This window comes from Homo sapiens, chromosome 11 (assembly GCF_000001405.40).
Source record: "Homo sapiens chromosome 11, GRCh38.p14 Primary Assembly".
In the NCBI taxonomy this organism is placed as follows: Eukaryota; Metazoa; Chordata; class Mammalia; order Primates; family Hominidae; genus Homo; species Homo sapiens.
Window position 1 is genome coordinate 85,657,179 of NC_000011.10, and position 25,982 is coordinate 85,683,160.

Sequence of the window (25,982 nt, forward strand, 5' to 3'; positions counted from 1 at the left end):
CTCCTAACATTTCTCATCCTAGTTCTCTAAACCATTTTATTTTGTGACAGCAACTAAATCAGCATTCTCCAACAGAGCGTTCTGTGATGATGGAAATATTTTCTATCTGCACAGTCAATATGTTAGCCACTAGCCTATGTAGCGGCTGGGCACCTGAAATGTGGCAAGTGCAATTGAGTAACTGAATTTTTACTTTTAAACCATTTAAAATGTTTAGCCACGTGACTAATGCTTACAGTATTGGACAGCGTAGATCTAAACCAACACTTATGAAGCAAGCCAATCATCACAGAAAAGTACCAAACAAAATTTTAAGTGGCATCCAAGATTATTCATGAATCTCTTAATTATTACTTCCAAATAGTGACATATCTGTTAAGTCATCTTATGCTACTTAAAATTATAATTTAGAAAAGGCATCTTTGTGAGTGAAACTGGCCTTTAGCTTCTGTTTAAAGAAAAACATAAAGCTGTGCTGCCAAAGATGAAAAACTCATGTGAAATTAATAAAATACAATCTCAATTTTTCAGAAAGCAAAGATGATTTGTTCTTTCAACAGGCACATAAAATATATTATCTACCAAACTTATATAAAAAATGATCCCAGTTATGAGGCAAAAGAATCTATGTGCACAAGAGACTGAAAGGAAGCATGCCAAAATGTTTACTGTGGATATTCTATGGCTTATAGAGTTATAAGGGTGATTTTTCTTTTCTTCTTGATTCCTTTCAGGATATTCCAAGTTTTCTATAAAGAATATGCTTTACTTTTACAACTAGGGAAAGAAAGACAGAAAAATATATATAACATTTAAAGGGCAAAACAATATAGCTGTTTATTTTACAGGCTAAAATATCAAGATGAAAAGCTCTGATCCCAAATCATCCATTTTACCTATATTCTGTCACTTTTACTAAAAGCAGAGTTCTACTCATCCCAGTGAAAAAAACAATGAATTAAAAGTAATTTCTGGCGTTAACCCAAGTACCGAGTTAAGACTCCTTAAGAATATAGAATTATGTAATCAACTTAGATAATTCAAAGCCCAATGATATAACTAAGTTCTTTGACGATTGAGCACACATTGTTTCCTTACTTATCTTTAAACATTCCTAGTCCAATTACTCCCTAGCATAATACCATTTATAAATGAGGATGAGTTTACAATGGTTTCTGTAACCAAAAAGTATTTCTAATATCTGTCCTCTGCCACATATTTTTAAATTATCTTTTCCATTAGCAGAAATGGGCAACATAAGCAATAAATCATGTTAAGTCTGTTGCTACAAATTTACTTTGCCAAAATTTTTGTTCAGAGGGCAGATATCTGCATTATTTAAGGACATTTAGTCATTTGTAGCTAACACCTGAAGTAAACTACCCTCAATCAATTTTTATATTTCAGTCTAGTCACTGTAGACAAACTATTTAAATCTTTTATAATTTACTTTGTGTAGTTATTTGGCTTAAAAAAAAAAAAAGAGGGCTCACATTCTATTTAAATTAAGACAATATATTTTATAAAGCCCAAATTATAGTACACTAAGAGCCAGAGGGGTCTAGGGAATTGATCTCAGTGGGTATACAGCAAAGACAAAATTTGGAGGCAGACGCTAAAGGAAGTTGAGATAAATAAAATTCAAATCAGTGTATTAACAGAACTACACAAATGTTTACAACACAGTAACTACACTTTTCAATTAGTTCATTGTGAAAACTGAGCAAAATATTTTCAACAATTTTGGGTCAACAAAAAGTATGGAATATTTTAAGACAATAAAGAGTGACTGGTGTTGAGAGTACTGAGGCTACACAGAGGTACTGAAATTCAAATCTGAAAAATACTGTGCTGGCCACACAACACTACAAATTTCTAATGGAAGAATTCCCTTTTTGATCCGCAGCTTAGGTGGTAAGTAAATAAAAAAACAGCTCAGAAAAACAGCAAAAATATTAACATTTAGGAGTCTCAAAACTTTGTATTGGCTGTGAGTCTGGGGGAAAAAAACATAAATGTCATACTACCAATTAAACTTTCAAGAGTCATCAGATTATTTAGCTTTAAAATTTTACTAAATCAGACCTTAAACTACACATTCAAAATGCTGAACTAGATAATCACATATTAAAAAGGTAATGACTCATTATCAGTGAATTACCCAGTCTGTTCTATCAAAGTAGTAGTTAAGGTCACCAAATAATGTTGGTGCCTTTGGTTCTGGAATTATAACTAGCTGTACTGTAGGAGCATCAGCGCCTAAGTTTTAAGCCAGTGGGAATACTCTGCTGCCTGGCTTCACAGGCACTGAATACACTTAAAATGGTAAGAAACTGAATGGATTTAATAAGTTTTGAATAATACAATAACCAACTGTATATTTATTATGAAGTAAAAGCCAATCTCCTACCCAATCCCTCTTCTATCAGCTGCACATTTCCAAGTAAGTGAGATAAAATGACTCAATCTAAACCACGTGAAGGAATGTATTAACATAATCCAACAAAAATGAAATAAAACAATCCAGAGTTTTGAGTGTTTTTTCACACTTGTAATAAACTGAAAAAATATTTCAATTAAAACAACCATATGCCACAAAAAGCCACTCCCATCATCCACAATACTAAAGTCCTTATACAACACTAGATAAATTTTTATATAAAACAGTAGAAACTAGCATACCATTAATTAGAAACCTCAAAATATTCAGAAAACAGTATCAAGTACTCAAGAGAAAGCTCAAGAAGCCAAAACCTCAAGAATCCATACATCCTGGTTGTTACCCTAAATTGTAATTAACTACCCACACATTTAATCATAATCAACTTTTTCAAAGATATACAAATCAATGCATCTATTTAAAAGGACTACTCTTTATAGTTCAGAACTTTACATTAACTTTTATATTCTACTCAGCAGGGTGTCTGTCTGTACTCCAAATTAGCTCTCATGTTCCAGGAAATAAATACAAACTCATATGCCTTGTGATCACTGATGGCCTGCTTATGTAATTCTAGTCCACTAAATGTTAATTCCATAGAATATGCTCTTGATTATGTAAAAACTCTAATTTCTTGATGAAATACTGTAATTCTCCAAAGGTTACAATTTTGTAAAGATATGCAATAACTGAGTATCACTCCCATGAAAGACAAAAAAAGTATAATTTTGTTCCAAGATTAACTTAGTCTCATGTATCTCTATTAAGTCTTTCAAGGATTCCAGAGAATCTTTTCATATCTCCATTTCTGGAAAGTGAAATCAGTATAGAAGTAATTTGGGAACTTGAAAATGGCATTCATTTTTTTCAGCAGATGCCAAATTTTTGACCGACATGGTTCTCACAATTACTTTGTTACCAACAGTCCAGTCAGTTAACAGGTTGTAGGAAAAGATTCGTTTTTGCAGACACTGCTAAGCTGTTCAAAGAGAAGAGAGAGAGATTAATTTAGTGATTATAAAATGCACAAATATTTAAAATATTTTGAACACTTCTTGTTGGATTATATCAGAGGTGTGACTACATTTTAACAAAAGTGGACTTTTTAAGATAAGTCTGGTCAAAGAAGTGCAGAAACAGTAAGTCAATATGATAGAAATAGTAGGTCAAAATATGATGTGTTAGTTCAATTAATGTATGAACTCCTGCCACCATCAAAAGACAAATATTAAAAAGCTACATCTTTAGTCTAGTTCTGTATTTTACCAGAGGCACATTTAGAAGAAAAACAAAAGGGTCACCCAAATACTAAATTGTTTTCAACCATTACAGTAAATAGAGCCAAACCTAGAAATTTCAAAAACAATCCATTTTATATTCCAGAAATCTCCTTTATCCATGTGCTAATCATCCAGAACACAATTTTCTAAAAATAGTAAGACAACAGTTTCACATTAATCATAACTTTTTTAATTAACAAGTAGTGAATCGGACACTTTAAGATATTGTTTACTACATACTGAAATAAACAGATCTGTTTAAATTCAGAAACCCAAACATTTACAGTAAAATGTGCTTACACATAAATATGACCAAATTTATTTAAAGCCCCTATTAGATAGATCCTAAGTACATGCAATTACCATGTAAAAACAAGACCATGAAGTTGATGTAAAAAATGACAAAATCACTAAGTCACCAAAACTAGAAAAAAAAAAATGAAATGGAAACTGAGAAAAGACAGTTAATAAAACATAAGGAACCTAACAAAGCAGCTTTAAAAATAGGCCATACTAATCCTTCCATTTTCAAAAGTTCTTATCAAGTAATTCCAAAAACTGCCATTTATAAAATGACATTCTAAAAATCTACACTTGGAATTTCAAAGTATCTCAATTCAGAAAGCTTTGACTACTGTTTCTCCCCAGCCCACAATTTCAAATAATGCAGGAAAAGTATTGACGTAAGGAAGAAAATACTCCAACAGAATGTTATAGTTTTTAGAAAAATGAACTTACTGCTTTCCAGAACCTTTTAAGACCCACAGTCAGCATTAACAATCATTTTTCCTATTTTCATCCATTATTTTCCAATATCATGTTAGAGATGAATAAATTCTTTGAGCCCATAACTAAAAGATCAACAAACCTGGTTTTATTATGACACCATATTTTTGTCATTGGTACTGCACAAAATTATATACAAAGAAATATATACAAAATGTTCAAGTATTAGTTAAATTTCAATTCAAGGCTTCTGTTTCAAAAAAGCTACATTTAACATATTTCATAAAGATAGCACAAATTAGTCATTTCAAATAATCTTTCCAACTACTTTTGGTTTATATATATATATATATATGTATATATATATATAATTCAGTAGGCACTAAAAACCCATGCAGCTGCATTGTGAGGGGCTTGCTCCTGCCCTTAGGTATAAGCAGGTTCATCACTCCAATTTGTGAGTTTGGCTACTACCCATTCATGCTCAAGTGCAGTAGTAGATGATTTTACAAAATATGCTGTGATGCACTGGAAACCAAAGACCAATTCAGGTCTCAAATCGTATTATCTAGCAACAAAACATTTACAGTTGTGCAAGAACAAGGATTCCATTTTCATAACCAAATAACAAAATAAAACATTTTATGTGTAAGATAACTTACATCTTTGGACTGCTGGAAAATACTTTTTAATTATGAACATGTTAAAAATAAAAAACAGCAGAAGCCCTGATATTACCTCTTTTTCCTCATTTCTTATACTACCTTTTAAAATAAAGCAGGAAATGTGGCCAGCAGCTGGTCCCGTCTCTTCTGCCCCAACAGCTGTATCCACTTTAGCACAAAGAAAAACAAGGATGCTAAATACGTATATACTTTATCAAGCAGTGATGTTTCACAAAGAATTTCTTAATGCCTCTTACACTGAAGGACACCATAATTCAATTTATACAACTGGTTAATAGATTCAAGGGAATAAATCCCACCTTAGGAAAATAGTACCAATCGTGTCATTTAAGTGGCCAGAACCACTCAATTTAAAAAATTATTTTAAAATAGGACAAATACTTTTGAAACACAGAGAATAAGATTCTTTGTGAAGCCTCACTTTACACGTTTTCATTCACATTTCACAACCTTCAATATCTAATCATACATATATAAATTTAACCTAAAATTTTAATACAACAAAAATAAAGATGTTCAACAATTTATTCAATCTCAGTGATAGGGTAATCACTGCTGGTCCTCAAAGAAACATTAGCCATTCTTATTCTCCAATTAACTAAAACGCAGGAGTCTCATATGTATGTTAATTTCCAACTTCTCTAATGGTGAGACATTAAAATGTTACTCCATTATAGACTGTTTCTATATCTCATACTGAAAACTAAAAGGCATTGTTGATATTTAAGAGATACCTGTCACCTCCAGCAAAATAACTATCACATTTGTGCATGCCCCAAATACTTAACTGTCAACCTCTGAAAAGTTGCCCTAAAATCGGAATTCCAATTTGCACCTTGTACAACTCGGAACTTCCATTCAACTTCACCTGTTTCACTGTCTCCAAACTGTCTCTCTATAAGCAGGTTTCAGTGTACAGTTGGAACCGATGTCATCCAAGGCCATGTCCACACTGGGGACAGAAGAGCTAGGTACACGCAAGTCTGAATAAGGGGACACATTAATAGCTATTTCAACCAGAAGAGGCATCTTAAATACATTCTTGACCAGCACAAGTCTGTTTCCAGGGTGGACAGGGCCCAAATTAGATTTCCCTCCCACCTTCCAAAACAGAAAAAAAAAAAAAAATCACACACACACAAACTGAGATGTTGCCCATTAAAGTAGACAAAGCAGCAGAGCATGAGCGTTACGGGAAGAGATGGATCCTTACCAGGTTGTGAGGCGGGAACGACTGTTCTGTAACCCCTACAACGGAGCCTGGCAGGAAGGAAATCACCTAAAAAAGAAACTGTCAGAGAGATTTAATAGTCACATGTTATCATTAGGAGTTGGTTACTGTGTCACATTCATGCTTTTAGCTAAACACTTTAAGATTCAATATTACTTTTTTTCTCTCCTCTGAAATGTGTCCGGTGAAGATGTCCCACTAAGGTAAGTTTGACATGGTGTAAGGGAGTTGAAAGGGGTAAACGCGGATAAAGAGCAGATTACTTGACCCTACATTTTAAGAGAAGACGACGCCTTCCGGGCGCACGCCGAGCAGAACTCCACCGACACCTTATCCTTGTCCACATGGAGACAGACTCCTCCCGCCGAGTCGTCCTCTTCCAGCAGGTCCTGCTTCTGCTTTCCCACCGGCAGAGCGTAGTCGTGGTCACCGGCGGGCGAGTCTCTGAAGAGCGAGGTGGTCAGCCGCAGTCCCACGCCGCTCAGCCGGCTCAGCAAGCGAGCCAGTCCAGTCTCGTTGGCTAAGACTGCCCGTAGGTAGCGACTCTCCTCCTGCAGTGCCTGTACGCGTTTGCCCAGCTCCCGATTCTCGGCCCGCAGCTCCTGGTTCTCGGCTGCCAGACCCCGGACTCGACTCTCCAGCCCCATCACGTACTCCTTCTTCTTCAGTCGATTAAGGCGGGCAGCGGCCGCCGCCGCCTTCCGGGGACTCTTTGTCGCCGCCTGGTTGTTGTCGTTACCGCTGCCGCCACCGCCGCCTCCTCCTGGGGACTTTCTCCGCCTCTTTTCGGCGCTGCCACTGTCACTGCTGCTGCTGCAGCCTCCGATACCGTTTAACAGCCTTTGCAGCAGGTCAGAGAAGCGCTGCATTTCAGCAGCCGCGGCCTCATCGTCATCGTCCCCTCTCCACAGGCCGCCGCTATCCGAGCCTCCGCCAGACGAGGAGAGAGGCCCCGGCGAGCTAAGCCCGGGGTCCAGGTGCCAGTCCGGTTGCCTGGGGTCCAGGAGATCCGCCAGTTCCAGCCCAGACAGAAAGTCCATATCCTCCGTCTCTTCCCCCGGGAGGCTGGCGATCGCCTCCTCCTCCATCTCCTCGGGGGAGGGCGCGCGCACGGCCACGCCGCCGCGGCTCCCCCTCCCGGCTTCCAACTCTCCTTCGTCGCCAAACTGCTGCTTGCGGCCGGGAGATCCGGCCGCCGCCGTCTCCTCCTCCCCCGCTGCAGCCCGGGTCAGGTCAGAGGGCAGCGAACAAGTTGCAGCCGGCTCCGGGCTCTCACTGCGGGTTGGGGAGTTGCTGCCCGAGGCTGCCAGCAGCTTGGTCAGGCTATGCCTCATGAGGGCCAGCGGCGGGCCGCGGTAGGCCCCGGCCGCTAAGAGTGGGCCTCACGGGCCCCAAGGATCCCAGGCCCCAGGGCGGGTAGCCCCCGGCACTGGCCGAAACGAAATGCAGGGAAAGGTCCGAGTCGCCTCCCGCCTCACTTGGCTAGTCGACCCCCCGCGCCAAGGCGCGGGGAGGGACGGGAGAACGAAGCGGTGAGGCCCTGCGATGACTCGACCGCGCCACCCAGACAACGGCGTAGCCGGAAGTCAGTGGTTTTCGCCCCAGTCCCGCCCACCGCGTTTCGCGCGCCACCAGGCCGTAGTGTCGCGAGATTTCAGGGTGCTTTAGAGTGGGAATAATTCCAGCTTTCTAGTGATGTCATAATAACAGCGGCAAAAATAACAAGTCTCTAGATTTATCCACCCTAATTCAATACCACCCAATACCCAGACTCAACAGTTCAACACAACATTTTGCTATATTTGCTTTATCTTTACATAAATGCTTGTAAATTTTTTTTTTGCTGAATCATCCTAAAGTTGCAGATGAGACACCACACCCCTGCGTACTTCAGTGTGCATCTCTAAAAATAAGGACTTTTTTTTCATAATCATAATACTATTACCAAGTCTTCAGAAAATTAACAATCGTTTACTAATACTATTTAATACCTGGGCCATACTAGATGTCCTCAGTTGGATAATGGATATGCTAGTTACCCTAACCTGATCACTACATTCCATATGTATAGAAATATCACTATGTACCCAATGAATATGACAGTTATTATTTGTCAATTAAAAAAAATTAAAACCAAAGCAAAATGAATGTAGAATACAACATTGCTTACAAAAATTGTCTTCAGTTGTTCTTGCCATTTTTGTAAGTAGATGTTTTCACTTGAGCCAAAATCCAATCAGTACTGACTTACTGCATTTGGGTAACAAACAAACAAAAACTCTGACAAATAGAGCCAGGAAAGGCTATGAAGAGAGGGTACTCATGCTTGTATGCCTGAAAACAAAGACTGTAAAAACCACAACGTTGCACAAAGACCATCACGACCTTATACAAAACCTCTGCAAGGATGTCTGCCCAGAAACTGCCTGTCCAACCTTTAACTGACGTCACCCTTGTTATTGACCTTTGTAGCTAAGATAATTAGTTCAAAACAATGTGTAACCATCCTCATTTTTTTTTCCTTTAAAACTCTTTGTCTTCCTTCGTCTTCCTGAATACACACATAGTTTACTATGGCATGCGTTTTCCCACTGAAATGCTCCATTCTCAAAACATGTCTTTTATTTTAGAGACCTTTTCTGTTTGTTATTTAGGTTCACATCCCACAAGGGATTTCAGATTTGAAGCAGTTTACAAATACAGATATTTAGGTTCACATCCCACAAGGGATTTGAGATTTGAAGCAGTTTACAAGTACATTAGAATATAGTAAAACAAAACATTTTGAATTTTTAAAAAGCAAGGCCAATAAAAGATGAACTAGGAAGAGAAGGATTTCTGAAAGGGGAAAAGGTTAATCTTGGAATTGGATGGATGCAATATCTTACTCAGTTGTTTGAATTGGGCTAAAAATTGTTTCCTGACAGCCCAAACAAAAAAAGAGAAATGAATTTTCCTTTGTTCATGAGTAAAATATACATGAATTCTTTAACTGCTCTTCTAGTTCTTAAATCTTAAAGAAACTTCTCTATAGGATACTGAATAATGTAGTAGATATCCTCGAGGATAGCTGCTTCTATACAGTATTTCTTAGAGACACAGAAAGCAAGGTCCAGGGAAGTTGAACACTGACAGGTCCCAAATATTGAGAAACGTGCCTGGTACTGCATAGGCTTCAACAAATATTGAGTGAGTGAGTGAATAAAGTCTACAGTTTTGACTGAAGCCATAACACTAAAGCTCACCTGAATGAAAACAATTATTTCAAGGTGTGAAAAAAGTATGACCTGTGGTATCTAGAAGAATAAATAAAAGGACTCCTTGTCCTGCTTAACATTCCATTAGGAAAGATTTTGCCAAAGTACAAGAGCACACAGTTCAAGGTGATATATGTATACTCTGGCCTCCCTTGAGTACAGGTGTTTTGTATGGCTGGTAATCCCATCCAACTACATTTTCCCCTTAGGCAAAATTCAATATTATTAACTGATTATATTTTTTAAATTACGAAATTTTGTTTTAAATACACATGATTTGGCTGGGCGTGGTGGCTCACACCTGTAATCCTACCACTTTGGGAGGCCGAGGCAAGAGGATTGCCTGAGCCCAGGAGTTCAAGACCAGCCTGGGCAACATAGAGAGACACCAACCCCCCACCCCCCGCCGCCAACCCCCACCCACTACCATGCCTGGCTAATTTTTTGTACTTTTAGTAGAAATGGGGTTTCACCATGTTGGTCAGGCTGGTCTCGAACTCCTGGCCTCAGGTGATCTGCCCGACTCAGCCTCCCAAAGTGCTGGGATTGCAGGCGCAAGCCACTGCAACTGCCCAGATTCGCTTTTCTTTGATTATTGGAAGGTTGAATGTTTGTCACATGACCAATTGACATCTAATGCGAATAGGATTTTCACTTCCCTAACTCATTTTTCTTTGAAGTAGGGAAAAAATGTTCTTCAGGGAAGATGTTTGTCTTTTTTCTTCTTGATTTATGTGAATTCTTTACATTATAAGGAAAACATCCCTTTGTCTCTTACATTTTCCAACTTTTTTTAAAAATCATTTTACCATTTACTAGGGGTGGAGTTGTAAAGCTGCTTCTCAGGCTGTAATTTTTAAATAGTCAATTTATCAAAGACCAGGCTCAGCAGCTCACACCTGTAATCCCAGCACTTTGGGAGGCCAAGGCAGGTGGAGCACTTAAGGTCAGGAGTTCAAGACCAGCCTGGCCAACATGGTGAAACCCCATCTCTATTAAAAATACAAAAAATTAGAAAAAAATTAGCCAGGTATGGTGGCACATGCCTGTAATCCCAGCTACTTGGGAGGCTGAGGCCCAAGAATCACTTGAACCTTGGAGGCGGAGGTTGCAGTAAGCCAAGATCACGCCATTGCACTCTAGCCTGGGAGACAGAGTAAGACTATGTAAAAAAAAAAAAATCCACTTATCAATTCATTGAATAATCCGTACTTGTCCCACTGACTTCCCAACATGCCATATATTAAATTCTTACATACACTTGGATCTGTTTCTGGTCTTTATCTATTTTATTGATCAGTTCTGCAATTCCAGAAGCAAAATCACTCCACTTTTTATTGGAGTTTATATTACATTCTCATATCTCATATGGCAAGTCCCTCTTTGTTACTTGTACTTTCTTAGAATTTTCTAGCTATACTTAAGTATTTATTTCTCCACATAACTTTAGAAGACTTTCCAAGTTCAAAAAAGCTAGAATTTTTATGGAAATTGCATTAAATTTATTCATTTCTTTCACCTAGTTTTTATGCAAACTTTACCTAGTTTTTATGCAAACTTTGCATAAAATTGATTATTTCTTCCGTTCTATTTCTAAATGGTTATTGTTACTATGTAGGACAGCTATTTGTCTTTTCTGTTAAATTTTTAACTGACTAGTGCACCAAACTTTCTTGTTTTAATTTTCAGCTTATTTATCAATTTTTAATAATTACATAACCTTATACATAATAACTCTTTTGCTTCCTGCTTTGCAATTATTATTATTATCTTGACTGATAATAAAATAGCACTTCCAGATTCATGTCTAATAATAATGTTTGTAGCCAACTTCCTTATCTTATTCCTGACTTTAACAGGAATGCCTTAACTATCTAGCTATTGATTTGAGATTAGTATTTTTATTAGATTAAGAAACATGCGGCCGGGCGCGGTGGCTCACGCCTGTAATCCCAGCACTTTGGGAGGCCGAGGCGGGCGGATCACGAGGTCAGGAGATCGAGACCATCCTGGCTAACACGGTGAAACCCCGTCTCTACTAAAAATACAAAAAATTGGCCGGGCGTGGTAGCGGGCGCCTGTAGTCCCAGCTACTCGGGAGGCTGAGGCAGGAGAATGGCGTGAACCTGGGAGGCGGAGCTTGCAGTGAGCCGAGATCGCGCCACTGCACTCCAGCCTGGGCGACAGAGCGAGACTCCGTCTCAAAAAAAAAAAAAAAAAAAAAAAAAAAAAAAAAAAAAAAAGAAACATGCTCCTATTTGTATTTTACATGGAGATTTTAACAACATGAATGGCTATTTTATTAAATGACTTGCAGCATGTGTCAGGATTCAACTATACTCCAAGTCTTTGGGGGGAAGGAGCCATAAAGCTATGTAAAAACTGTGTGAGGTTCACTAGCTTAAGACAATTGTGAGAGAAGCCTAAACTTTATAACCCTGTACATTGGGTTTTTTATATTGGGGAGGCAGTTTGAAAAACATCTGTTCAGCTTCTCATAGCTAAATAAAGGTTATACAAAACTTATCTCACGTATCTACATTATTCTGCATCTGTCTAGAATTGCAAGACCAAAGCAAGAAAATAATTTATTCAGTCATTCTACACACACACACACACACACACACACACACACACACACTCACACACAATCTACTTTGAGCTAGATCTTGTTATAAGCATTGTGGATATAATGATGGGCAAGGTTGATAAAGTTCTTGTGGAGCCGACTTTGTAATGAGAGAAGATAGCAAATAGGAAAGTTTTATAAAAATGCTATACAGAGATTTGTTAAAGGGTCACCCAATTGAAAATAAATCTATAATTATTTTAGATTGGATAGTCAATGGACAATTCTCTGAGGAAATAAGATTTCAGCTGAAAACCTCAATAGTGTGTTAAGAAATAAAGACAAAAAGTTGGAGCAGAGTGGGTAAGAAGAGAAATCATAGGACATGTGTTCGTATACACACTATTTACAACTGAATTAACTAAATGTTTTTTGTTTGTTTGTTTGTTTGTTTGTTTGAGACAGAGTCTCACTCTGTTGCCCAGGCTAGAGTGCAGTGACACAATCTCAGCTCACTGCAACCTCCACCTCCTGGGTTCAAGCGATTCTCCTGCCTCAGCCTTCCAAGTAGCTGGGATTACAGGTGCCTGCCACCACACCTGGCTAATTTTTGTATTTTTTAGTAGAGACGGGGTTTCACCATGTTGGCTAAGCTGGTCTTGAACTCCTGACCTTGTGATCTGCCTGTCTCGGCCTCCCAAAGTGCTGGGATTACAGGTGTGAGCCACCGTGCCTGGACTAATTACATGTTGTAAATACACAAGCATTTCATTGGAACTTGAAGGAAGAAAAATCCTGAAAGTTTCTAGCAAGCATGTAATACAAAATGAAAATTAATTTCAGACATGTAGAGGGCCATTGATACTTTGTTTCGTATTCTTTATTTCCCCCTAACACTTTAATCCCCCCCCCCCACAATAAGATCTCAAGTTCTTTTTTTTTTTTTTTTTTTTTTGAGACGGAGTCTCGCTCTGTCACCCAGGTGGAGTGCAGTGGCGCAATCTCTGCTCACTGCAAACTCCACCTCCCGGGTTCACACCATTCTCCTGCCTCAGCCTACCGAGTGGCTGGGACTACAGGCGCCTACCACCACGCCCAACTAATTTTTTGTAAATTAGTAGAGCCGGGGTTTCACCATGTTAGCCAGGATGGTCTCGATCTCCTGACCTCGTGATCCACCCGCCTCGGCCTTCCAAAGTGCTGGATTACAGGCGTGAGCCACTGCACCCAGCCTCTCAAGTTCTTTAACCATAGATTTTCCAACCATAGGAAAAGAATGTCAACTCATCCCCTGAGACATGCATACATAAATTTTTCAGCTGGAGCACCAGAATACAATGTAGTGTCAATATCTCGATAGATTAGAAGAAGAGGTTGTCAGCTGAGACTGAAGAGGAGGATAGGAATTCATATAGATTAGATTGCGTCCCTCAAAAATGACATGTTGAAATCCTAATCCCTAGTACCTTAGAATGTGACCTTACTTGGCAGTAGGATTTTTACAGAGATAATAAAGTTAAAATTAGCTTATTAGGGTGGGTTCTAATTCAGCACAACTTTTGTCCTTATAAAAAGAAAACATTTGTATACAGAGACAATCACAAAGGGAAGACAATGGAAAGACACACAGGTAGAGGATAAGCATGTGTATTAGTCCATTCTCACACTGCTACAAAGAACTGCTCAACACTGGGTAATTTATAAAGAAAAGAGGTTTAATGGACTCACAGTTCCACATGGCTGGGGAGGCTTCACAATCATGGTGGAAGGCAAAGGAAAAGCAAAGGCATGTCTTACATGGCAGTAGGCAAGAGAGCATATGTAGGGGACCTGCCCTTTACAAAACCATCAGACCTCATGAGACTTATTCACTACAGTGAAAACAGCATAGAAAAATTTGCCCCCATGATTCAATTACCTCCCACTGGGTCCCTTCCACAACATGTGGGGATTATGGGAGCTACAGTTCAAGATGACATTTGGGTGGGGACACAGCCAAACAACATAATTCTGCTCCTGGCCCCTCCCAAATCTCATGTCCTCACATTTCAAAACCAATCATGCCATCCCAACAGTCCCACATTCAGCATTAACTCAAAAGTCCACAGTCCAAAGTCTCATTGGAGGCAAGGCAAGTCCCTTCTGCCTATAAGCCTGAAAAATCAAAAGCAAGTTAGTTACTTCCTAGATACAATGAGGGTACAGGCATTGGGTAAATACACCTATTCCAAATGGCAGAACTTGGCCAAAACAAAGGGGCTACAGGCCCCATGCAAGTCCATAATCCAGCAAGGCAGTCAAATCTTAAATCTCCATAATGATCTCCTTTGACTCCATGTCTCACACCCAAGTCACATTGACATAAGAGGTGGGTTCCCACGGTCTTGGGCAGCTCCATCCCTGTGGCTTTGCAGGGTCCAGGCCCCCTCCTGGCAGCTTTCATGGGCTGGCATTGACTGCGGCTTCTCCAGGTGCACAGTGCAAACTGTTGATAGATCTACCATTCTGGGGTCTGGAGGATGGTGACCCTCTTCTCACAGCTCCACTAGGCAGTGCCCCAGTGTGGACTCTGTGTGGGCATTCTGAACCCACACTTCCCTTCCACACTGCCCTAGCAGAGGTTCTCCATGGGAGCCCCGCTCCTGCAGCAAACTTATGCCTGGACAGCCAAGTGTTTCCATACATCCTCTAAAATCTCGATGGAGGTTGCCAAACCTCAATTCTTGACTTCTGTGCACCCACAGGCTCAATATCACGTGGAAGCCGCCAAGGCTTGGGGCTTGCACCCTCTGAAGCCATAGCCTGAGCTGTGCCTTGGCCTCTTTTAGCTACAGCTGGAGCATGCGGGATGCAGGGCACCAAGTCCCTAGGCTGCACACAGCACGGGGCCCTGGGCCCTGCCCATGAAACCATTTTCTGTTCCTAGGCCTCTGGGCCTGTCATGGGTGGGGCTGCCTCGAAGGTCTCTAAAATGCCCTGGAGACATTCTCTCCATTGTCTTGGTGATTAACATGTTGCTCTTCGTTACTTATGCAAATTTCTGCAGCAGGCTTGAATTTCTCCCAAGAAAATGGGTTTTTTCATTCCTACTGCATCATCAGGCTGCAAATTTTCCAAACTTTTGTGTTGTTTCCTCTTGAATTCTTTGCTGCTTAGAAATTTCTTCTGCCAGATATCCTAAATCATTTCTCTCAAGTTCAAAGTTCCACAGATCTCTAAGACTTGAATTGTGCTAAAGAATCCACTTCCAGGTGGCTCATTCACATGGCTAACTGGTTGGTCATGGAGGGAGGTTTCAGTTCCTCCTCCATGTGGGCCCATGTGTGAGTGTCTACACTTCACGATGGCTGTCTTCACCTAGAGCAAATGATCCATGAGACCAAGGAAGAAGCACCAATGCCTTTTATGACCTAGCCTCAGAGATGATGTACCATCATTTTTGTAAGATTCTTTTGGTCACATGAGTCAGACCTTATTCATGGTGGGAGAGGACGAGACAAAAATCATTAGAGAGCCTATCTTAAGGGGCTGGCTACCACATCCTATAAAGCTAGTGAATGGACATCGAGATGCTGTTACTGAAAAATCCAATGTCTCCACAAGAATATACTTAGCAGCTACAATGGCCAAAGGAGGAAACCAAGGGTCCTTGCCTCATTTGCACCTTCCAAATATGGCTGCAGAGGAGTCTGGCAAATATAGTTTGCTTTTGTGTTTCTTTTGTTTCAGCTTTTACGTTTTTGCAACACAGAAAAGCACATTGAAAGGGGGATTGGAATAGATGAATCCAAGTCTATCAGATCCTCCCCAAAGACCATGACTTCATGGTACTCAAGCACCCATATACATTTACTGGATTTTCTATAGCAGAGAATTGGAGCAGTGATAGCAGGGAATGGGTTAGTGTTTTTCTGAGTAGATATAGTAGAATGATAAATGTACAGGCATACCTCGGAGATACTGCAGATTTGATTCCAGACCACCACAATAAAGTGAATATCATAATAAAGTGAGTCATGTGAATGTTCTGGTATCCTAGTGCATATAAATGTTTACACTATACTGTAGTCTACTGAGTGTGCAACAGCATTATGTCTTTGAAATGTGCGTAACTTAAGTTAAAAATATTTTATTGCTAAAAATGCTAACCATCATCTGAGCCTTCAGTGAGTCACAATCTTTTTGCTGGTGGAGGGTCTTGCCTCAATGTTGATGACTACTGACTCATTAAGGTAGTGGTTGCTGAAGGTTGGGGTGACTGTGGCATTTCTTAAAATATGACAGTAAAGTTTGCAGCATCAACTGACACTTCCTTTCATGAAAGATTTCTCTATAGCACGTGATGTTGTTTGATACCATTTTGCCTATGGGAGAACTTCTTTCAGAATTGGAGTCAATTCTCTCCAACCCTGCGGCTGCTTTATCAACTGAGTTTATGTAATATTCTAAATCCTTTGTTGTCATTCAAACAATGTTCACAGCATCTTCACCAGAAATAGATTCCATCCCAAGAAACCATCCATTTTTCTTGGCTTATCCATAAGAAGAAATTCCTCATCCATTCAAGTGATATCATGAGACTGCAGTAATTCAGTCACATCTTCCAGCTCCAACTTTAATCCTAGTTCTCTTCTTACTTCTATCACATCTGCAGTTATTTCCTCCACTAAAGTCTTGAATCCTTCTAAGTCATCCATAAAGGATGGAATCCTCTTCCAAACTTCCAAACAAACGTTCTCAATGGCATCTAGAATGGTGAATCCTTTCCAGGTTTTCAATTTATTTTGCTTAGATAGATCAGAGGAATCACTGTGTATGGCAGCTTTGCCTTAATGTATTTCTGAAACAATAAGATTTCAAAGTTGAAGTAACTCCTTGATTCATGGCTTGCAGAATGGATGTTGTGTAAGCAGGCATAAAAACTTTAATCTCCTTGTAAATCTTAATTACAGCTCTTGAGTAACTAACTGCATTGTCAATGAGCAGTAACATTTGGAAAGGAATCTTTTTTTCTGAGCAGCAGTTCTCAACAGTGGGCTTAAAATATTCAGTAAACCACACTGTAGATAGATATGCTGTCATTCAGGCTTTGTCATTCCACTTATAGATCACAGTTAGAGTAGATTTAGCATAATTCTTGAAAGCCCTAGGATTTTTGGAAGGGTAAATATGAGCACTGGCTTCAACTTAAAAGTCACCAGCTGCATTAGCCCATTAGCCCCTAATAAGAGAGTCAGCCTGTCCTTTAAAGCTTTGATGCCAGGCATTGACTTCTCTAACTACTAAAGCCTTAGAGGGCATCTTCTTCCAATAAAAGGCCTTTTTGTCCACAGTGAAAATCTGTTGTTTAGTGTAGCTACCTTCATCAATTATCTCAGCTGGATCTTCTGGAAAACTTGTTGCTGCTTCTCCATCAGCACTTGCTGCTTCACCTTGCCCTTCTTTGTTACAGAGATGGGTTTTTCTCTCTAACTTGGCTGTGGTGCTTTTACTTCTCATTGCTAATTCCAAATCATTTCTTCTCCTCTCTCCTTCAGAATACCCAAACCTCATGAACCAACCTCTGCTAGCTTCTGCTAGCTTCCAGCTTTTCTTCTGCAGTTTCCTCACCTCTTTCAGCCTTCATAGAATTGAAAACAGCTAGGGCCTTGCTCTGGGTTTGGCTTCGGCTTAAAGGAATGTTGTGGCTGGTTTGATCTTCTATCCAGATCACTAAAACTTTCTCCATATCAGCAATAAGGATGTTTTATTTTCCTATCATTCATGTGTTTACAGAAGTGGCCCTTTATAATTTCCTTCAAATTTTTTTTCTCAAAAATATTTCCTCTGCATTCACGACTTGGCTAACTGGTGCAAAAGACCAAGCTTTCAGCCTGTCTCTGCTTTCAACACACCATCCTCACTAAGTTTAATCATTTCTAGCTTTTGACTTAAAGTGAGAGATGTATAACTCTTTCACTTGAACACTTAGAGGCCATTGTAGGATTATTAATTGGCCTAATTACAATATTGTTGTGTCTCAGGAATAAGCAGACCCAAGGAGAGGGAGAGAGACTGGGGAATGGCCAGTCAGTGGCACTCAGAACACACACAACATTCATCAGTGAAGTTTGCCATCTTATATGGGTGCTGTTCATAGCACCCCCAAACAATTACAATAGTAGTATGAAAGATCAATGATCACAGATCACCATGACAGAGATATTAATAATGAAAAAGCCTGAAATAGTGTGAGTTACAAACCACAGAGACACAAAGTGAACACATGCTGTTGGAAAAATGGTGCTGATAGACATGCTCAACTTATGGTTGCCACAAACCTTCGATTTGTAAAAAATGCCATATACGTGAAGCAGAAGAAAGTGAAATGCAATAAAACAAGGTATGCCTGTGGTACAGAGACGAGGGTGCTCATTTTACTTTAGTTTGCCTGTCTACCCATGAAGTATAATTTGTAAGGGGTAGTGAGACCATGAGGGGACATTAGGACTGGATGAAAATTGAAGAAATCAGGTGATTGACCGTGTCTAGGGCACTGTTGGATTATGTTTACAAGCACTACATACATATTTGCATGAAATGTGCAATTCCCAGTGTGCTAGCTGTATTATATTTCCACTCCTCTAACTCCTTCTCAAGAAAGCGTTTCTGAACGCAACTGAATGAGAATTATACTATTGTGGACTAATCTGGAATATATTTTATTTTAAAATTACCATCATTTGTAACCAACTGAAATAGTGAGAAATTACTAGTGTATGTCCTAACTAATCAAACCTCACAGTTGCTGCCACTCAAGTTGAGAATTGCTGCTTCAGTGGAGGAAAGGGAGCAGGCATAGAAGTTTGAGCATGAAAGATTTGGAAGGGTAGGAAGAAAGCTTTTCATATTCTGATAGCAAGGACTCCACTTCTCAAGTGGAAGTTGTTTCCTCTCTCACCGCAATGGGCACCTCGGAGCCAGAACTTGGCTGTTGTGCTCTTACTTCTCATTGCCAATTCCAAATCATTCCTTCTGCTCCCTCCTTTAGGAACCCCAAAACTTTAAAAATTTTAATTTCTTAAATACTGAAAATTTGTACTCTGACACAAAATGAGGAGAATAGTACACAGAATCCTTATAGACCCATCGTCCAGATTTAACATTATCAAGATTTTTCCACACTTGATTTATCTCTTTTTTATTGCTGAAATATTTTAAATAAATCCTAGACATCATGTCGTTTCATCCCTATACATGGCAGTGTACATCCTTAACTATAATGTCACTTTTTTTTTCTTTTTTTTCGAGACAGGGTGTCACTTTGTCACCCAGGCTGGACTGCAGTAGCTCAAACATGGCTCACTGCAGCCTCGACCACCCTGGGCTCAGGTGGTCCTCCTACCTTAGCCTCCTGAGTAGCTGGGACTACAGTTGAAAGCCACCACACTGGGCTAATTTTTCTTTTTTTTTTTTTTGTAGAGTCAGGATTTCATCATGTTGCTCAGGCTGGTCTCAAGCTCCTGGGTTCAAGCAATCCGCTTGCCTCGGCCTCCCAAAGTGCTGGAATTACAGGTGTGAGCCACTATGCCTGCCTGTAAAGTAATTTTTTTCTTTTTCTGTCTTTTTTTTTTTGAGACAGAATGTCACTCTGTCACCCAGGCTGAAATGCAGTGATGCAATCTCGGCTCACTGCAACCTCCGCCTCCCAGGTTCAAGCAATTCTCCTGCCTCAGCCTCCTGATTAGCTGGGATTATAGGCGCCAGCCACCACAACTGGCTAATTTTTTGTATTTTTAGTAGAGGAGGAGTTTCATCATGTTGGCCAGGCTGGTCTCAAACTCCTGACCTCAGGTGATCCACGCACCTTGGCCTCTCAAAGCACTGGGATTACAGGTGTGAGCCACCACACCCGGCTTAAGTCATTTTTTTGTGTAGCCACAATGCCATGATTACAACTAATAAAATTATTATGGATTTCTTGATATCATTTAATCCACATTCAGTTGTCTCAAAAATGTCTGTCTACAGATGACTTGACTTAATCGGGATCCAAACAATTCTACACATTCCAGTTGGTTGTTATGTCTCTTAAATTTCTTTTAATCTAGGACAGCAATCCCCCACCCCCTTTCCCAAATGCCTTTTGTGTGAAACCAGGTCAATTGTCCTATTGAATGTCCCATATTCTAGATTTGCCTGTTTGCTTTCTTGTGGTGTTATTTTACTTATCCCACTAGCCCACATATTTTATGTAAATGGGAAGTTAATTCTTAGGGCTTAATTATCTTAAGGTTCAACATTTTTGGCAAGAATACTTCCTAGGAGGTGCTGCTCTGCATACTGTATTGCACCAGCAGGCACACAATACTTAGCTGTCCTGTTTTTAGTGATGCTAAGATTGATCAATGTTTTCAAGTGGTGACAGTCTAATTCTCCCACTGCAAAATTCCCCATTAACCTCTCTCCTAATGGTTTCATCTAATGATGATCAGTTCCTAAATTATTTCAGTCAAGGTTACAACACAATTATTTCCAAAATGCCTTTTTACTTTTATCTGGAATTATTCTGTGAAAAGCAACTTTCATTACTTAGGAGCCAATATGTTTTCCTGAAATACAGAGAACAGGCAAAGTAGAATAAATGTTCAATTAATTCTCTTTAATTATAATTAATCTTTTTGGGGGGTATATCATGATATTCAGTGTTTCACTCAATTGTGGTTATATATTTTTCATCTTTGGCCATTGAGAGCCCCTCCAATTTAGCTCTCTTGTCTATTTGACAGAATTCCATTAGTCTCTGATAGTTAATTTGTTTTCTGACACACCTAGATTTTTCAGGTTTATCTTGTACTTTTCCTACACCAGTTCTGAAGTCAGCCTCTCCTCCAGGGAGCCTTTCTTCAATTTAGTGGAAAACAGTTTTGGGAGGCAAGAAACAGGCCCTAGGGATGCTCACTGCATTGGATTTTTATTGCTTCTAGGCCTTTCAGTTGACAGAGCTAGGGAATATGTATTTTTTTTTTTAACAGAAAAACTGTCAGGGGTTTAGACTGGTATTTTAAATTTGATTAAACATTAAATAATTTTTTTACTTAACTTTTTAAATACCTGCATTTAAGTCTTGAAAATTTTCTCCCTAGCAACATTAACATAATTATTTTTTGCTTTAGCATCAATATATAGAAAAATGTTCATATAATGCCAATATTACAACTAACAAACTAACGAATGAAATTTACTAAGATTTCTTTGCAGTTCTATTTGTCCTTGGAATATACTCCATTAAGGATATTCATTGAAAATACTGTTTTCTAAAGCCTTTTGGATAATTCTTTTGTTTGTATGGTTATACCAATTTGAAATTCATGCCATGTCATCCTTATATCTCTTCCTTACTGAAGATTTTAGCTTTCTGGGTACCTCTTCACCCACTAAGACCTAATTTAAGGTCACCCAGTAACAGCCAGGATTTAAATCTAGGCAGTCTTATGCCAATGCACCCTTTTGCTTACTGCACTAATACTTCAGCTGGTTTGCTGATCATAGATCTGAGTTTCCAAAGGGCTCTCTCAAAGAGTTTGCATGGGAATGGTGGTGGGGGAGGGGAAGGATTGAGTAAGATTATGAAGGCTCAGACTTCTGGAAAGGACTAAGGTAAATGTGGATGTGAGCATAATGGGATTAATCTGGCCAGAGAATCTCTTGAGTCTATTTGGAGCTGCTTATTCTGCAGCCCTGAATGGTACAGCTGTTGGAAAGGCAGTTTTCTTGATCAGGAACAGGAGGTACTGTGAAGCTTTCGAAGCTACTGTACTCTCATGTTTTCCTCTTCTCTTGGACAGTCTTTACACATTCTACAGATACCTTACATCCACTTCCAGGAAAAGCGTCCTCTAATCACTCCTACATTAGGCTGGAGGAACCTGCTATGCACTTCCATGTCCTCCTATTGTTCAGCATGTTTCTCATCCAGAAGGATGCAAAGTCAGTGAAGATAAGGTCTCTATCTTGCTCACATTGTATCCTACCACTTAGCATAGTGTCTTGGCTAATAGATTCTCAATAAATATTTGTTAAATTAATGCAATATATTCAGTGAATGAGTTAGCAATTAGGATCAGAAAGATCAGAAATGAAAGATCAGAATGGCTGATCTACCTCCACTACCTTTTGTTGGTATGTCAGCATAAAAACAAAAATGAATACCAAAATCCTAAAAGCTTGAGTATATAAGAAAACCGGCTCTCTAAAATCTAAGATTTATACAGACACGTGAAAATCCATGAGAGAAGCTAACACATCCAAACCTCTAGGAGAGAAATACTAATCATTGGGAGGCATTCTTTAGGGACGAAAAAGATATTGTCATTAGCCATATGTGGTTGAACATTTGTGGAAGCAGCAGCTTCCAGCTGAATGTCCTGACCCAGATCTGTCAGGCCATATTTGGCTTTATCTAAAATATGCCGTGCCTACCCAGTTCTTGGAGAGGGGAAAATGTGCAGGCTTTTGAATTGCCTAAACAGAAATATAGCTTATTGGGAAGTTAAACAGATATGTGGAAGATTCTTTTATTTTTGTTTTCAATTTTACTATATTTTGAATAGGTAATATATTCACATAGTTCAAAAGTCAAATGATATAAAATGGTATACATTAAGAAGTTTCTTTCCCATTCCTAACCCTGACCACCTCATTCCCTATATGCTTCCACACCACTAAGAACAACTTTTTTCCCAATATTCATTTATGCAGCTGGAAATGTTTGCATGCTAATACCCCTCTCCTCCTCTCCCCCTTACACAGAATATAGTATAATATGGATATTGCTCTATAGCTTGTTGTGTTTTTTTCTGCATATATCCTGGAGATAGTTCTATATCAATACATTAACAGCTTCCTTTTCCTTTTGTTTTACAGTTGCACTGTGTTCCAAAGTGTGAACCTGTTCCCTATTGATGGTATATAACCTGTTCCCTATTGATGGTATGTAAGCTATTTCCAATCTTTTGCTGTAACAATGATGTAATGAATAACCTTAAACATGAAAGTGAAGATTATTTTAGACTAGTACAAATAAGAGTGGATTAGATCATCAAGTGGGAACTGTCTGGCAAGTAGCTAAGGCAGGAGTCCCTCTGTGGGACTGGGGAGTAAGGGTGTTGTGAGGGCACCGTAGTCAGTTGAATGTGTAATGAATGACCAGACAGATCTGTGCAAGAACAAGTTTTTTCTTGGATTCATTTTTCCCAAGTGGAATAAACAGAAGGTTTTAGAGAGAACAGCATCAAGTAGGGAGACTCATCTGTACAGCTCTAGGTGTCCCTAAGTTTAATGTTTTTAGTGTTTAGAAAATAACATCCAATTTGTCCTTAGGAATACACAATGATTAGAAAAGCTTATTCTCAGCCACTTCCCCAAATTCCAATAACTTTTTTAAGAGGCCAAGACTTGTGATTAAGGATTTAAAAAGGCTCCCTGCCTGATAAGGCTCTGGCAGTCTAAATAGATGTAGCACAGAAGGCACTATTGATGGTCCATCCAATATCCATCCTCCATCATTCCTGCTGGCAGAGCCCTGCCTTTGCCAGGTAGTCCCGTCCACTATGTAGCACAGACTGGCCTCATTCCCATCTCAGGGTGGATCCTGATTGGTCTAAATCAATCATGCTGGCAACATGCCCTATGAAGAAGCTTGGCTGAGGTATTTGCATATGACCCAATTTTGGCCAATGACACTGGCAGACAAGCTGTCTGGAGGGGGAGGGTAGGCTTTTAGGGGAGCAGTTAAGAGTCATCATCCTCTTTTCTTTGTGGACCAAGAGGTGATATCTCAAGTCTGCCCAACTCTGCTGGTCTTGTCACAGTGGAAAGCAGAATATCCCTGACCTGACTCAGCCCACAGCTACCTCATGGGTATCTGGGGAAAGGAGGGCTGAGTAGAACAGCAGGCACCTGGGCAGGTACTCCTTCAAACAACTTTCTTTAAATAATTATTTAATATATGGAGTCAGGTTGACAAAGATTTTCTATTAATATTTTGTTTACTAGAAACAAACTAACTTGAATTCATTTTCTCTAACTGAAGCAGAGTCAGTATTCTGAAAATACCAGTCAGTTCATTTCTCCTGTAGCTCTCCTCTTTTCAAGCTCTCTTTCATAATTTTTTGGAACCAGACAAGTTCCTTAGGGCACCCTGAAGAGCTCACAGTTTAAGGAACAAAAAGTCACACCTATCAGCTACACGGCACTACTCATACATTATTTGCTTTTAGGATCTCTGTTCTGCTTTTGTTTGAGAGCTACTGTTTGTTGATGTTGCAGAAAAATTCAGCAGGGATATAGGTCTGCTTTAGAAAACAGTGTTGTTGTTTAAATTTCCCCTCAAAGGCAGTAGTTTGGAGGAGGCCGATTTACATTTTGTCAGTTTGTTCCAGTGATAAGCATCACTTAATAGAGCAACATACCATAATAGATAAACTGGTTGCTTATCCCCTTAATAGGCTCTGGGTCACAGATTAAATATGAGGACTGACAGAGTGGAATACAAAGTACCACGGAGCACAGAGGAAGAAAACAATGCCTTTTTAAGGCTCTTAAGAAGAATAGTTTGTATACTGGGAGAAAGCACGGGTTTTAGAGCCAGAAAACAGGCCCAGCTACTTCCTTGATAGTACCCAGAACAAAAAATAAAATATGGGGCCGCTTGTTAAAAAATAAATAAGAATTTCGCGACAGCAACAGTGAGCATTAAACCAGGTGTGGGGGCCTGTGTAGGCGGCATACCCAGGGCCTTAGGTTCAAAACTCACTTTTGCCTCTCCAAACCTTCCTGGCTTTGGACAAGTCATCCTCTCTTAGTCTCCCTTTTTTTTCATCCGTAAAATTGCGATAATTGAACCTCCCTTGAAAAGTTGTTATGAGGGTGGAATGAAAAGCACCTTGACACATGATAGGTGCACATTTCTCTTAGTCTATGTTGTGGGCTCTTCTTCGGTTGTTCTTCAGAGGCATCTATCTTTGGCTTTCTACTCTCATTTCCCACTTTCAAAATTTTTCGAAAGGGCATTAGGGTGAACCTTATAAAATGGCCCATATCTGACGACTTAGGATCTCCAAAACGGCAAATAAGGATCAAACGTACACAAACTCCTCAGCACAGCTTGGAACAGTACCGTCCTCAGACCAGGGCAACTGGGCTCGTTCCCCTGCGCCCGAGTTTTAGGGGACACGCGCCCCTACCCCCTGCCCTACTCCCCCCAACGCGATCTTCCAGACGCGCTCTTCCCCCATATAACGTGGAGTCCCTGGAGCCCACTCCCCTTGTAGACCACACTCCAGTACCCGGAATTCCGGGATTCATACCCAAACGGCCCTCAGCCCGCTTCCAGAACCGTCCGGCCTCTGCCCATGGGACTTCTCCCCGCAGGCTGGGCGCAAAACTTAGGCCCCAAGGATTACCACGGGGCCGCAATTTGGGATGGATGAGCCGAGCTTGGACGTACAGGTTGTGGGAGGGAGGAGGAGCGGTAGAGAGGCTGGAGGGTCGGCACGCATGCGCACCAGGCCCCTCGCAGAGCAGCACGGGCCCGGGTGGGAAAAGGCGGGCTGGGTCCGTGGCTTAAATTTGTACGTTTGCCTCTCCTCTCGCGCCCCTCCCTCTCTCTCACATAACGGGCCAGCCTGCCTTTCAAGGTCACCTATATTATGACCCCAACCTACCATAACCGTTTACAGTTTTATCTGTACACATGCTTCTCTTCACCTCTTCCCAACTGCTATGATTCCCCCAAGTATTCTGGGCATTTA

General features: G+C 40.0%; 1 protein-coding gene across 29 annotated transcripts, besides 4 other annotated features; it reads right to left on the bottom strand.

Annotated features, from left to right (window-relative positions):
* Positions 812–25,685, bottom strand: CREBZF (CREB/ATF bZIP transcription factor). 29 transcript variants are annotated; one of them, NR_165400.1, is made up of 5 exons: positions 25,539–25,685; positions 6,346–6,423; positions 6,001–6,115; positions 5,211–5,279; positions 812–3,419 (listed from the first exon to the last, which is right to left on the bottom strand). NR_165400.1 is itself a non-coding variant. In XM_017018086.2 (4 exons), exons 1-2 carry the CDS (start codon positions 7,695–7,697, stop codon positions 6,408–6,410), a joined length of 1,077 nt encoding a protein of 358 aa, XP_016873575.1. In that variant the 5' UTR covers positions 7,698–7,951; the 3' UTR covers positions 812–5,279; positions 6,001–6,115; positions 6,346–6,407.
* Positions 6,575–6,814: an enhancer, noted in NCBI's record as "active region_5368". NCBI's record gives its function as "activates an Ori minimal core promoter by ATAC-STARR-seq in GM12878 lymphoblastoid cells {active_cell/tissue: GM12878}" and the evidence as "EXISTENCE:reporter gene assay evidence [ECO:0000049][PMID:35858748]".
* Positions 6,925–7,214: an enhancer, noted in NCBI's record as "active region_5369". NCBI's record gives its function as "activates an Ori minimal core promoter by ATAC-STARR-seq in GM12878 lymphoblastoid cells {active_cell/tissue: GM12878}" and the evidence as "EXISTENCE:reporter gene assay evidence [ECO:0000049][PMID:35858748]".
* Positions 7,485–7,534: an enhancer, noted in NCBI's record as "active region_5370". NCBI's record gives its function as "activates an Ori minimal core promoter by ATAC-STARR-seq in GM12878 lymphoblastoid cells {active_cell/tissue: GM12878}" and the evidence as "EXISTENCE:reporter gene assay evidence [ECO:0000049][PMID:35858748]".
* Positions 14,983–15,483: an enhancer, noted in NCBI's record as "H3K4me1 hESC enhancer chr11:85383205-85383705 (GRCh37/hg19 assembly coordinates)". NCBI's record gives its function as "activates a minimal SCP1, AML or CMV promoter by ChIP-STARR-seq in naive H9 embryonic stem cells {active_cell/tissue: H9 hESC(naive)}" and the evidence as "EXISTENCE:reporter gene assay evidence [ECO:0000049][PMID:30033119]".
* Positions 25,686–25,982: the final 297 nt, after the last annotated feature.

What these genes read in the sequence shown, in the direction of transcription:
- CREBZF (XM_017018086.2), bottom strand. Translation starts at nt 7,697, where the DNA reads ATGAGGCATAGCCTGACCAAGCTGCTGGCAGCCTCGGGCAGCAACTCC.